The sequence below is a fragment of the Homo sapiens genome, chromosome 6 (assembly GCF_000001405.40).
Source record: "Homo sapiens chromosome 6, GRCh38.p14 Primary Assembly".
Lineage (NCBI taxonomy): Eukaryota > Metazoa > Chordata > Mammalia > Primates > Hominidae > Homo > Homo sapiens.
The window spans coordinates 36,875,643-36,888,543 of NC_000006.12; the positions used below are offsets into that span (position 1 = coordinate 36,875,643).

Here is a 12,901-nt window from a genome sequence, read left to right on the forward strand (position 1 = left end):
GCTTTGCACACCACTTAATAATGATGGTTGAATGTTTACCATGTGCCAGGCATCAAGCTAAGCATTTTATTGCGTATTTTCACGCTTAATCTTCAAAATCCCACAAGGTAGATATTACTATTCCCATTTTACTTTGAGGAAGCTGAGCCTTACAGATTAAATAACTTGCTTAAAGTACTACAGCTGGTGCACTTGTGCTCTTAACGACAGTTCAACTGTAATGTCCCTAATTGTCAACAAGGAATAAGGATGTACAAGGTTGTAAAGATAAACTAGACAGCTCCTTGAGAGAGGAGCTGGGCCTCCTTCATCTTTGTGCTCTTCTTGCACAGTACAGAGCACAGGGTGCTCAGCTTTGCTGAATGAATAATGAACGGAACACTACATTTTAAACTGATAAATGCTAAAGTATAATTTTTACACCTCCTGCAGTTTCAAGTTCATGCCCACCTTGTGGCCCTTGAGCTGGATGAAAAAGTCTTAATCCTTGGTCTGTTTAGTCTGTTGTTAAGTTGCCTTTCTCTGGACTTTATGTAGTTCTTTACTGTGTATCTCGGGAGTCATGTGCCATTCCCAGGCTCCAATGTCTGAATATTGAAAAGCCACCCCCAAGATCATGATCACTTTCTTCCTAAATCTTTTACTGCAGCTCCTACCAGTCACTTGGCACTGAGGAGACAGAGATGAGTCTCACACACACAGTGCCCTGCCCTAAAGAAACTCACATTCTAGGAGAGATGGGCAACTAAATACGTAGCTGTAGGAGCGTGGAATGAGGACTGTAATAAGAAGCACACAGTAGGTTGGGTGCAGTGGCTGACACCTGTAATCTGGCACTTTCGGAGGCCGAGGCGGGCAGATCATCTGAGGTCAGGAGTTCAAGACCAACCTGACCAACATGGTGAAACCCTGTCTCTACTAAAAATACAAAATAAGCTGGGCATAGTGGTGCATGCCTGTAATCCCTGCTACTTCGGAGGCTGAGGCAGGAGAATCACTTGAACACGGAAGGTGGAGGCTGCAGTGAGCAGAGATTTTGCCTTTGCACTCCACCCTGCACAACAAAAGTGAAACTCCATCTCAAAAAAAAAAAAAAAAAGAAGAAGAAGAAGAAGAAGAAGAAACACAGTTTTCCCTGAGCTCTGGTTACTCCAGAGTAGGTTTGGACAGTCAAAAATTTCCCCTGGAGTGACAGCCTGGGTTGAGATCCAGAAAATAAATTGGAGTTAGCCAGAAGCCATGAGGGGTCAAATCAAATCAAGAAATAAAATGTCTCCAATTCCTCAGAAGCCCCCCTACTAATCATTACCCATTCCTTCCTCCCAAAGGGTAGACCACTTTCTGCCTTCTAATATCATAGATTGGTTTTCCCTGTTTTTGAATTTTATATAAATGGAGTTATAAAGTACGTATTTTTTTGTGCCTGGCTTCCTTTCCTTAACAATATGTTTGTGAGATGTATTCATGTTGTATGTAGTGGCCATTTTTCATTTTTCCTTGCTGTGTAGTATTCTGTTGTACAAACATACCACAATGTATAATGGTGCTGCGATGGATATTTTGTGTATGTATCTTAGTGCACTTGTGCATGAATTTTTGGGAGTATATACCTAGAAGCAGAATTGCTGTGTCATAGGTAACATGTATAATTTAGTAGTTAACACTAGACTGTTGCAAAGTGGCTGTAGCAATTTTTTGTTTTTTTTTGAGACACAATCTCACTCTGTCGCCAGGCTGGAGTGCAGTGGCACAATCTCAGCTCACTGTAACCTCCACCTCGTGGGTTCAAGCGATTCTCCTGCCTCAGCCTCCCGAGTAGCTGGGACTACAGGCGCATGCCACCACACCCAGCTAATTTTTGTATTTTTAATAGAGACAGGGTTTCACCATGTTGGCCAGGATGGTCTCAATCTCTTGACCTTGTGATCTGCCCACCTTGGCCTCCCAAAGTGCTGGGATTACAGGCATGAGCCACCACGCCTGGCCAGTGGCTGTAGCAATTTATGTATGCACCAGCAGCCTGTGAGAATTGCTGTTGCTCTGCTTCCAAGCCAACTCTTAGTATTGCTAGTCTTTTTCATTTAAGGAATCCTGAAGCCTCTATAACAATATCTCAGTAGTAATTTCACTAACAACTAATGACTAATGAAGTTGAATTCTTTTTCCATATGTGTGCCATTTAGATATCCTCTTTGTGATACCTTTTTGTGTTCAAATCTTCTACCTATTTTTCTATTTGGCTGTTTTCTTATTTGTAAAGTTCCTTATATATCCTGGACAGAATATAACACTGGAAAGTTTCTAATTTTAATGTAGTCCAACATATGCATTTTCTCTCTTACAGAACATGTCAGTGTTGGACAGACATTATTGGACATCTCAATATTGCAGCTCTATAATTCTGTTTTGTTTTTATCATATAGATCTGCAATGCATCTAGAACTTATCTTGGTGTATGGTATGAGGTAGGAGCCAAGTTTCATTTTTTTCTATATGGATATACAATTGACCCAGCACCATTGATTGAAAGCATTATCTTTTCCTCACTCCTCTGTTTCACCTCTTTGTCATAAATCAAGTGTCCATATATGTGTTTTCTGGTTTTGGTCTCTCTATTCTGTTTCATTGGTTTCATACATTTATGTCACTGTCACACTACCTCTGTAGCTATAGCATTAGTCTGAACCCAGTAGTATTTTGTTTGCAGATTTCTTGTAGAAAGCAGTTAAGAGATTTGGCGCTACACACAGGGCAGGTTAAGGAGTCTGGGTTCAAATGCTGATCCTTCCATTCCTTATCTGTAAAATCTTGAGCAAGTTAACCTCTCCATAAACTTCAGTTTTGTTTGTATGAGGATGTTATGGGGCTATTTATGCCATAGGGTTGATGAAGTGGCTCCATGAATTGAAAGTGCTTAGTACAGTCTGTCACAGTGTTAAAGCAAACTAAATATGGCCTGAGAAGGGCTTTGTACTTCTATATTTGAGTCCTTGTGGATGAACTATAACCTAGCTTTATAGTCAGACAAATTTGAAAACTTAACTTAATAGTATATACCTGTAACAATAGCTGAATGTTGGCCAATCCCAGCGGCCATACTTCAACAACTCATAGACTGCCGAATGTTCAAATTGCATTCAAATAAGGCAAACACTGAGCTTTAACCAATCTCGCTGTTTCTGTACCTCACTTCCTATTGCTGTACGTTAGTTTACCTTTTTGTCTATAAATTTGTTCTGATCACGAGTCACCCCTGGAGTCTCTGTGAATCTGCTGTGATTCTGGGAGTTGCCCGATTTGCGAATCATTCATTGCTCAATTAAACTCCTTCAAACTTAATTCAGCCAAAGTTTTTCTTTTATCAGATGGTGTCAGGAATGGGATCTAAAGTGGAGCTTCTAGCGACCCCCAGGAGCACTGAGTGAACATGCAAGGTACCTGCAGGATCCACTTGTGTCTATTGATCTCTCACAGCAGCTGGGGATCACAGGTAAGCTCCCTCTCGGATCTCTCTTTCCTTTCCCTTTTTTATCTTTTCTATTACTCAGGGCAACCAGCTTGCCCAGAGATCACGTGTTGAAACCCCTAGTCAGACATTGGATTAAAGATAACGGGGCCCATCTGAGGGCAAATATAAACCTTGCCAGTTTGATATTGAGTGCTAAGCAGAGTGGCTAATGTCTGTGTTTTATCACATGTATTTTGCTCTGGCCGGAACAACAACAAAAAATTTTTCCTTTATGATGCGGCTTGGCCCCCAGTGTGATGGTGTGGCAAGCTGGGTCACTGGGGCCGCTGAGGGAAAGGGAACCCAGAAGGCTGGCATGCCAGCAAAAGAGTAAGAATTTCTTACCAGTCAGATTTTTGGCTTCTCTCTCTCTGTGCAAATGGTTGAATGAATGGTAAAAATCACTGTTTATTTATCTCTTCTCTAAGGTTTTGATTAATGCAAAAAAAATTCTGAGGTTAGTCTTAAACTGATGTATTTGTGCTATGAATTCGTTTTTCTGGGTCAAGGGGTACCTTAGGATAAAACACGGGCTTAGGACCCCACAAGCTCGCTGGTCAATAACAAACTTTCCTGCAGGTCCCTGAAACACAAAAAAAAAACTGGATGGGGTCTCCATCTTGTTTTATGTCCTTGGGAACTTGACCTCGTAACCACGTGGCAGTACTTTCTCTTGGTCTCCACCTTCTAGGGAACAGGGATTTTAGGGTTTATGCCATAGTTAGCTCTAAAAATTATCCTGAGTCATTAAAAGCCTCTGCAAGCTCAAAATTAACTACTCTAGACTCCTTCTGGGAAGGGCAGTAGACTGCTCTGTGCTGTGGCTCACTGGCCTTTCACACTGGCGGTTCCAGTTCCATTCCCTGCTTAGGAAGTAAGTCATTTCTGATTTAATATCTGCATAACCTTCTCTAGTCTCTTCTCCTCCACAGACTATCTTAAATTTTCCTTCCTCGAGCACCTAGGAAGTTACCTTTGGTAAAGTTCAAAAGCCAGAAATATCAGCCATTTGGCCTGGGTAAAATCAGTAATAAGAAATTTAAAAGGACTTTATTAAAGAGTGCTATGCTTAAAAGTCAGGTTAATTAAAAAATGAATATTCAGGCTCTAATGGCCTGGAATCCATGGGAAAAACAGGAGGCACCAGAAACCCTTTTCCTGGCCCTGTTCCTCCAAGGACTCCACCATAAAGCCAATAACCAATTAAGAAACTTAAAAACTGGCAAAAGAAAAATCTTACAACTACTATAGTAATCTTCTTCTGCCTGTCTGTCTAATTATATATGTATTGTGTGTAATGTTTATATAAAAGAGCTCAAATTAATTGGCTTAAACAAAAATAAGCACTTAAATATTTTGAAAGCAAAATAAAAACTGTAATGCCTCTTGGTTCATGTAACTTTAGTAATCTTTGGGAAATAAAAACAACTTTAAATATTATTGATAAAGACATTTTGTCTAAATTATGCAGGTCAGATATTAGCTTTGCTATATGCTTCAAGGTCATAAACTGCTTTGACTTTTGAAAATTGTTCAATTTATTTTGGAGACATTAAATTCTAAATAAGGCCTGGGGATATATGGAATTAGCCATGCCCCCTAGCTATACAAAGGCTATAAAGAAAATAGATTTCATTAAGAAAGGATGTTGTATGGTAAATTCTTGTCCTAAAGTAAAATGACTGGTTGTTTAAAAAGAGGGATGTTTAGGGCAAGTCAGAAAGTCTAAACATGTCACACATAGTCTGTGTAAGTTGTGAAAAAATTTATGAAAAGGAATTCATGCCAGACATGTTGTACAATTTAAGGTGATTAGGCCTCCTAAATGCTTCATAAAATGCCACCATGACTCTTAACTGTACAGCCTGCCTGCTTTATAGCTAGGTAAGGCCTGGGACACCTGTAGTTAGATGCTGGAAAGAGTCGGACCTTTATCTGCATTTCTGTCTGGGTCCTGGGCTCCACACCTAGTACATAATTAAAATCCTTACTTACCAAGGTTTTCACCAAAAGTAAAAGTTGCTAAGAGTTAACATTGTAATATGTAATTGAGAGTACTGAAAAAATAGGTTTACATGCAAGGTGTGTAAGGAGAATGAAATGTGTTTTTTGTAAGAGATTATAAGAAAATACAGGAATGTAAATTTTTGCCTAGGTTAGAGGGTTAAAGGATTGTTTTAAATTAAATAAAGCTAAAGGTTTGAACAAGTTGTGGAAGGTTTATAAAAATTAATTATAGGGGCCAGGCACGGTGGCCCATGCCTGTAATCCCAGCACTTTGGGAGGCTGAGGTGGGTGGATCACCTGAGGTCAGGAGTTCGAGACCAGCCTGGCTAACATGGTGAAATGCCGTTTCTACTAAACATACAAAAAATTAGCCAGGCGTGGTGTTGCACGCCTGTAATCCCAGCTACTGGGGAGGCTGAGGCAGGAGAATCGCTTGAACCTGGGAGGCCGAGGTTGCAGCAAGCCAAGATCACACCATTGCACTCCAGCTTGGGCAGCAAGAGTGAAACTCCATCTCGAAAAAACAAAACAAAACAAAACAAAACAATTAATTATTAGGATTCTATGTGTGAACATATTGGCTAAAGTTAAAATGGCATTATTCAGTTTTTTTTTCCATAAATGGGACATTGGAATAAAAGCACAACAGAGTTTTCTTAGAAGATTGTTCTGCTCTGAGAAAAAAAATAGTAAAGGGTTATAAAAGGTTTATAAAAATCTTACCTTATGGTCAAACTAATTAAAACTGAATAGATTTCTAAAATATTATTAAAAACTAGCTTTAACATTAAAAATACACTAATGGAAACATAAAATTTGGTTCCCTCTTTTAGAAAGGATTTTTATTTAATATTAAAAGATAATGAAAGGTTTTTGTTTACCTTTTAAATAAACAACAAAAAAAAATGGTTGAGGAAGGAAAGAAAGGAGATAGTCAGTTGGCCTCATGCTATCCTCATTGGATCTTGTTTGGAAAGCTGAGTCTCCTTTCTATCAAAATACTGTTTTTTCCTTTAAAATTTTTTAAGTTATCATTTTGGCTAAATGAATGACTTATGGTAACCTAAGATTCTATTTTGTAATATCCAATGTTTTAAACCTTTGGTATTTAACAAACCTTTCAAAATCAAGCTCTAGATTATCATGCTAAATAAGCCAATACTAAAATTGTTTAAATATACAATTTGAATGAACTCCATGGTCTAAGTCAAATTACCTATGATAACCCATTAGCTATCAGTGCTATGCACCTAAATTGGAGAAACAACTGGTATTCAAGAGGACGTAAGTCCCGTGTTAAGCATGGACTCATGAAGAACCAGGATGGCCACCTTGTCCTTCTTGAGTCCTTAAAGCTTTTGTTATTAAACGTTCTGGAAAAGATAAAATAATCCAAATTTAATATATTGATGTGGTGACTTATAAATTGCAGAAATAATTTAAATCCAATGTTTGGTTCCATATTCCTGGAAAGACGATCAAAGCTTCAGATGCGTTTGGCTACCTGATGGGCCATTTAAACATTTATAAAGAGATTTCATTCAATTGTCATTTTCTTTTTTTTTTTTTCTTTTTTCTTTTTTTTTTTTTTGAGACGGAGTCTCGCTCTGTCGCCCAGGCGGGACTGCGGACTGCAGTGGCGCAATCTCGGCTCACTGCAAGCTCCGCTTCCCGGGTTCACGCCATTCTCCTGCCTCAGCCTCCCGAGTAGCTGGGACTACAGGCGCCCGCCACCGCGCCTGGCTAATTTTTTTTGTATTTTTAGTAGAGACGGGGTTTCACCTTGTTAGCCAGGATGGTCTCGATCTCCTGACCTCATGATCCACCCGCCTCGGCCTCCCAAAGTGCTGGGATTACAGGCGTGAGCCACCGCGCCCGGCCTGAATTGTCATTTTCAATGCATGTTTTCTGGTTGTATAAAAGCTTTCCCATGCAATAGGGCTGATGTTATAACAGTAGATTATAGTGTATTTTCACCAGACAAAGAAAACTTTTTATGATTCACTGAGGACAATCCCTTCACAATCTAGAACCTGCAGATTGGATCGTCTGAGAACACCAGAGAAAGAGAAAGACTGTCCTTGCCATCCACACTACAGCAAAACTTTGGAGCTTTAAACCTTGGGTTCATAATCTCACAGCTGAGAAGGGTCCCTCCACACTCCTGGAACTGTACATCCATTGGAACCCTTAAGGTAAAACTAACCAGAAAAGTTTCTCCCCAGAAGATGGCATCCTTGATTAGAATAGCTTTTCCCAAGATCATAGATCAAAACTTCTACTATCACAAGACTCTTATCTTTGAATATTTTTTCCTTGTTTATGCCTCTATGAACAATAGAAATTAAAAGTGGGTCTATTATATGCACTTATAGGGTATACTTTTATTTGTGAAGGATTTTGCAGCCAGCCTTAAACATGAATAACCTTATATTTCAATAGATAAAAGATGAAGGCCCAATGTAGGTAACAAACTTTAGTGGTACATACATTGCCTCATAATCAGTCAAAACTCCTCTTAACCCACATCATGGATTAAAGAGAACATTGACAAGAGGCCTTCACTCTTCTAGAAAGACATCCATTTGTTAGGTCCTTTTTCCATGGTTTAGAATAAAAGAGGCAATAATTTGAAATGTCTCCCTCATAATAGGCTCTACAGCAAATTCTACTTTAAAGGCTATCGTTACACAACAGACTTTAAATTCTCCTTTGAAAATTATACTAAGTAATAGAATTGGCTAAACAGAAAAGTACCTGTGCAGCTGTTGACACCTGTGGCCTATGGAGAAATACAGCAAATGTAAATTATAAACAATTCTGGCCGGGCGTGATGGCTGACACCCGTAACCTCAGCACTTTGGGAGGCAGAGGTAGGCGGATCCCCTGAGGTCAGGAGTTTGAGAGCAGCCTGGCCAACATGGCAAAACCCTGTCTCTACTAAAAATATGAAAATTAGCCTGGCGTGGTGGCAGGTGCCTGTAATCTCAGCTACTCAATAGGCTGAGGCGGGAGAGTCACTTGAACCTAGGAGGTGGAGGTTGTAGTGAGCTGAGATCGCCGCTGCATTCCAGCCTTGGTGACAGAGCAAGACTCCCTCTCACAAAATAAATACAATAAAAATAAATATCCAGTTGTAGGGGATTAGTGAAAAGACCACTTAGTCAAGCAAGGAGACTCTTCATCTAACTCATTCTTCAATCTATTTAATTTTAGGTGGTTTGGCTTATGGGGACCCTGGGTAAGGAGCATACTCCAAACTCTTGCTATTATCCGCCCGATAATGATAATAATAGTCTCCCTGGTGCACTGTATTCTCTCAAAGATTTTAAATGCTTGCATGCAGCCATCTCTACAACGTCAAATGATCTCTTTTCAACTGGAATAACAAAAACTGAAAGAAATGTGTGACCATGAAGGCACCGTAACCTATGAATGACATGCTGAGACCAGAAACCCAAAATGATGTAACTGAGAGTGGCGCTAAGGCCCTAAGTTCTGGTCACGCTGTCACCTAAGTAAGAACCTGGCCAAAAGTGAGGAATTTTTTTTTAAACAAAATCATGGGAGGCCATTATTTTGGACTGAGCTCATGCACTAGGCACCAACAAACCAAACCAAACTAAAATGGAGTCACTCATGCTAAATGTGACATAATCAAACCAAGGCTTTAAAAAAACACAAAATGCTAGAACAGACCAGGTTTTTTCTCCTGTAAACAGATGTTTCAGAATAAGGAGGTATCCTCTACTCAGCCCTTATTCTCTTCCTGCAAAACCCACTGTTCTACTGTTTCCTAGTGAGTTTCAAAACCATACAGGTACACTTATGACAGCGATAATAACATCAATGACCAAGGTTTTGGTCAATCTCTCAAAATTGAGAAAATGACCAAAACGGGGGAATTGTTAAGGCAAACTAAATATGGCCTGAGAAGGACTCTGTCCTTCTATATTTGAGTCCTTGTGGATGAACTGTAACATAGCTTAATAGTCAAACAAAATTGAAAACCTAACTTAATAGTATACACCTGTAACAATAACTGAGTGGTGGCCAATCCCAGCGGCCATACTTCAACCACTCACAGCCTGCTGAATGTTCAATCTGCGTTCAAATCAGGCAAACACCGAGCTGTAACCAACCTCACTGTTTCTGTACCTTACTTCCGATTCCTGTGCCTCACTTTGCCTTTTTTATCTATAAATTTGTTCTGACCATGAGGCACCCTGGGAGTCTGTGAATCTGCTGTGATTCTGGGGGTTGCCTGATTCGTGAATCTTCCATTGCTCAATTAAACTCCTTTATACTTAATTCGGCTTAAGTTTTTCTTTTATCAACAGAGTAAGCTCTCACTAATGAGTGGGCTGAGTGAAAACTGGAGGGATTTGTTCGTCTTTCTCAAGAGTAGTAGCTTCCAGAAGGAAGGGGCTGCTCTTCATTTACATTTCCCTTCCACTCCCATCCCTTAATGCCTAACATGCTGCCTGGCACATAGTAGGGGACTCAGTAAATGCTTGTTCTATGGATCAGTTCAGCTATGAAGTCTGTGTGAGCCAGTCCAGGTAAATTAGGAAGACAAGGATTTAGGACTGGGGCGAAAAGAGCCAGAACGGAAGAAGGACGCCAGGGGGAGCAAGAACCTACACTCTCCAGATATCGCGAGAGGTCCCGCGCTCGCCACGACACTGAGTGTTCTGTTTTGGGCGGAAGCGCTGGACGAGAGGAGGAATTACTCTAGGGTACAAGGCCTCGCCCAGGAGTGGGGGGTTGCTTCCGGGTCGCGCTCCCGGAAACAGGAAGTTGCCCATCCTCCTCGCCCGGCGGCAGCTGTCCCCGAGGCGGGAGGAGCCCGAGGGGCGCGAGCCCCGCATGTGAGTGACTGGGGCCCGAGGCTGGGTGGGGGGAGGCCGCCCTGTGACAGCCTCGCCGCGCCCGTCTCTGACATCCTCGCGCAGCCGCTTCTCGCCGCTGCTACCACCCTCTATCCCAGCGCGGATCCCTTTTCTCAGTCTCTCCAGTTTTGTAGACTGACAGCATCCCCTGGCAGCTCCCCCGGGGTCGACTCCCTTAAGACATCTGTCACTTTCTTTGACTCCGCCGGGGAGAGCAAAACGAGGTGGACCTTGCTTGAACTTGGTTCTCAGGCATCACAGCAGTGTCCATAACTTGAGCGTTGCTAATGAAGTCCAGATTTCTGCCCTTTTGACGGAATTTTTAAGAAATTAAGAGTAGATTCCCCACCCCCTTCTGAAAGATCTTTTTCTAATAATCGTTAGGGGGCAATAATTTTTTTTCTTTAAATGTGTACTTGGTATGTGATAAACCTGGCATCTTGGATTTCAGAAAGAAATATGACTTGGTTTCTTGACACAAGTAAAATAGTTGTTTGTAATCACCTCTTAGTAGAAGGAAATTTGCCTGCGTCGTGTTTTGTAGTATTTTAAGACTGTTAACCGTGCAGGCCACACTTTCTAGTCTCAGAGCCCTCATAGCCTTTGTATTCGCAAATATGTTTCTTTTAAAGTATTTAGTCATAAATCACTTTATAATAGAGACTACTTCCAGATACTTAGTATTCTGACTTTTCTGATGGCTCATTTGGTAGTTCCTGTGGTGGGATCTTCTATAGACGTCTCTCCCTTAATAAATTCGTTCATTTGAATTTGGGTTGTCAAAATTTCCCTCTAGGGAATAACATGCCTTTAAAATAATAACTAATAAATTCAATTCTGCTACATTGAAGTTTTGACTAAAGGTTCATGTAGCCCAACTTGCATACCAGAAAGAGGTCCTGTTTCTGTCAGACCTTTTCTGCCTTGGACTGAGGCATTTTTCAAGACCTGCTTTGAATACCTGTTCCTCCACAGCTACTCCACACACCAGAAACAATGTCCAAATGCTAGATTCCTAACCTGCTAACCTTAAACCCTCATCACATTGTTGCTACCTCTGCGTTTTTTTGTTTTTTTTTTTTTGAGACGGAGTCTCACACTGTCGCCCAGGCTGGAGTGCAGTGGCGTGATCTCTGCTCACTGCAAGCTCCGCCTCCCCGGTTCACACCATTCTCCTGCCTCAGGCTCCCGACCTCTGCATTTTTAAAAATGAATAAAATAATAAAACATAAAATGAATAAACCATGAGCCACGAGTTACATTCAATTAGTTCGGAATGATAATTTTAGGTCCTTTCTATAAATTTGTTCAACATTGATCTGATTCCACATCTGAGGTGAATTCCCACGTCTGTTCTTAGTTTTTTGTGTTTTCTCCATTTATCTCTGCTTTCAAGAAACACTATTTAGGGTGGGAGGTAGACAGGAAAATAGATGTAATGCCAAGCCCTAGAGGTGCATAGGACAAAAACTGAGGTCAGAGTCTTAAAGAGTTCACTTATTGGACAAAGCACTGGAGACTAGGCTTTTTAGGCAGAGGAAATTGTGTATGCAAAAGCAAAAAGATGTGAAATAGTATGACAGTGTAGAATGTGAAGAAGGATTGATGGGAAATGAAACTGAACAGGTAGGCAGTGACCAGATCATAAAGGGCCATGGTAAGTAATTTGGACTTTATCTTTTAAAAAAGACAGGAATCTCATTCCATCACCCAGGTTGGAGTACAGTGGTGCTATTACGGTTCACTGCAGCCTCGAACTCCTGGGCTCAAGCTACCCCTCACCTCTGCTTCCCAAGTAGCTGGGACTACAGGCAGGCACCACCACACTCGGCCAATTTTTATTTTTATTTTTTTTGTAGATACAGGGTCTTGCTATGTTACCCAGGCTGGTCTTGGAAGTCCTGGGCTCAAGCAGTCCTCCCACCTCAGCCTCCCAGTGTTGGGATTACAGGCATGAACCACCATGCTTGACTTAGGACTTTATCTTAAAATGATTGTTATTAGGTATTTAATTTGTCTGGCTATTGGAACAAATGTGTTACATCATTTTATAATTCTCTGAAATAAAACATTGTGGGGTAGAAATAATTATCCCCATTTTATACATGAAAACTGAGGCTTAGAGAGGATGAGTAGTGTCTCATGGCCACACAGTAAGTGGTAAAATCTAGAATTTGCATCCAGCTTTTTCCAACTCCAGTATCTGTGTTCTTAGTCACCATGCTAAACTGCTCCTGCAGAGGATGGGGAGTCTTGGAAGGTGCTTAGCATGAGCCAATTTGTGTTTCAAAAAAATAAGTGGCCGAGTGCAGCGGCTCACGCTTGTAATCCTAGCACTTTGGGAGGCTAAGGTGGGTGGATCACTTGAGGTCAGGAGTTCAAGACCAGCCTGGCCAACATGGTGAAACCCATTTTTTACCAGAAAAATACAAAAATTAGCTGAGTGTGGTGGCGCGTGCCTGTACTCCCAGCTACTCCAGAGGCTGAGGCACGA

General features: G+C 41.0%; 1 protein-coding gene across 10 annotated transcripts in view, besides 2 other annotated features; it reads left to right on the forward strand.

Moving 5' to 3' along the window:
- The window catches only part of C6orf89 (chromosome 6 open reading frame 89), a 57,121-nt gene that overhangs the window by 3,799 nt on the left and 40,421 nt on the right, over positions 1-12,901 (forward strand). For 4 of the 10 annotated variants that reach the window (XM_047418337.1, XM_047418342.1, NM_001286636.2 and 1 more), the window contains exons 2-3: positions 3,366-3,490; positions 7,546-7,710. Coding sequence is in view for 1 of the 10 variants with exons in the window: in NM_152734.4 (NP_689947.2) it covers positions 10,385-10,386 (2 nt within the window). In the remaining 9 variants the exon portion in view is untranslated. Of the gene's footprint in view, positions 1-2,423; positions 2,466-3,365; positions 3,491-3,819; positions 3,839-7,545; positions 7,711-10,309; positions 10,387-12,901 lie in introns of those variants that run through there. The other 6 variants (NM_001286635.2, NM_001286637.2, NM_152734.4 and 3 more) reach the window with 3 other exon arrangements.
- Positions 10,070-10,149: an enhancer, noted in NCBI's record as "active region_24446". NCBI's record gives its function as "activates an Ori minimal core promoter by ATAC-STARR-seq in GM12878 lymphoblastoid cells {active_cell/tissue: GM12878}" and the evidence as "EXISTENCE:reporter gene assay evidence [ECO:0000049][PMID:35858748]".
- Positions 10,370-10,549: a silencer, noted in NCBI's record as "silent region_17122". NCBI's record gives its function as "represses an Ori minimal core promoter by ATAC-STARR-seq in GM12878 lymphoblastoid cells {active_cell/tissue: GM12878}" and the evidence as "EXISTENCE:reporter gene assay evidence [ECO:0000049][PMID:35858748]".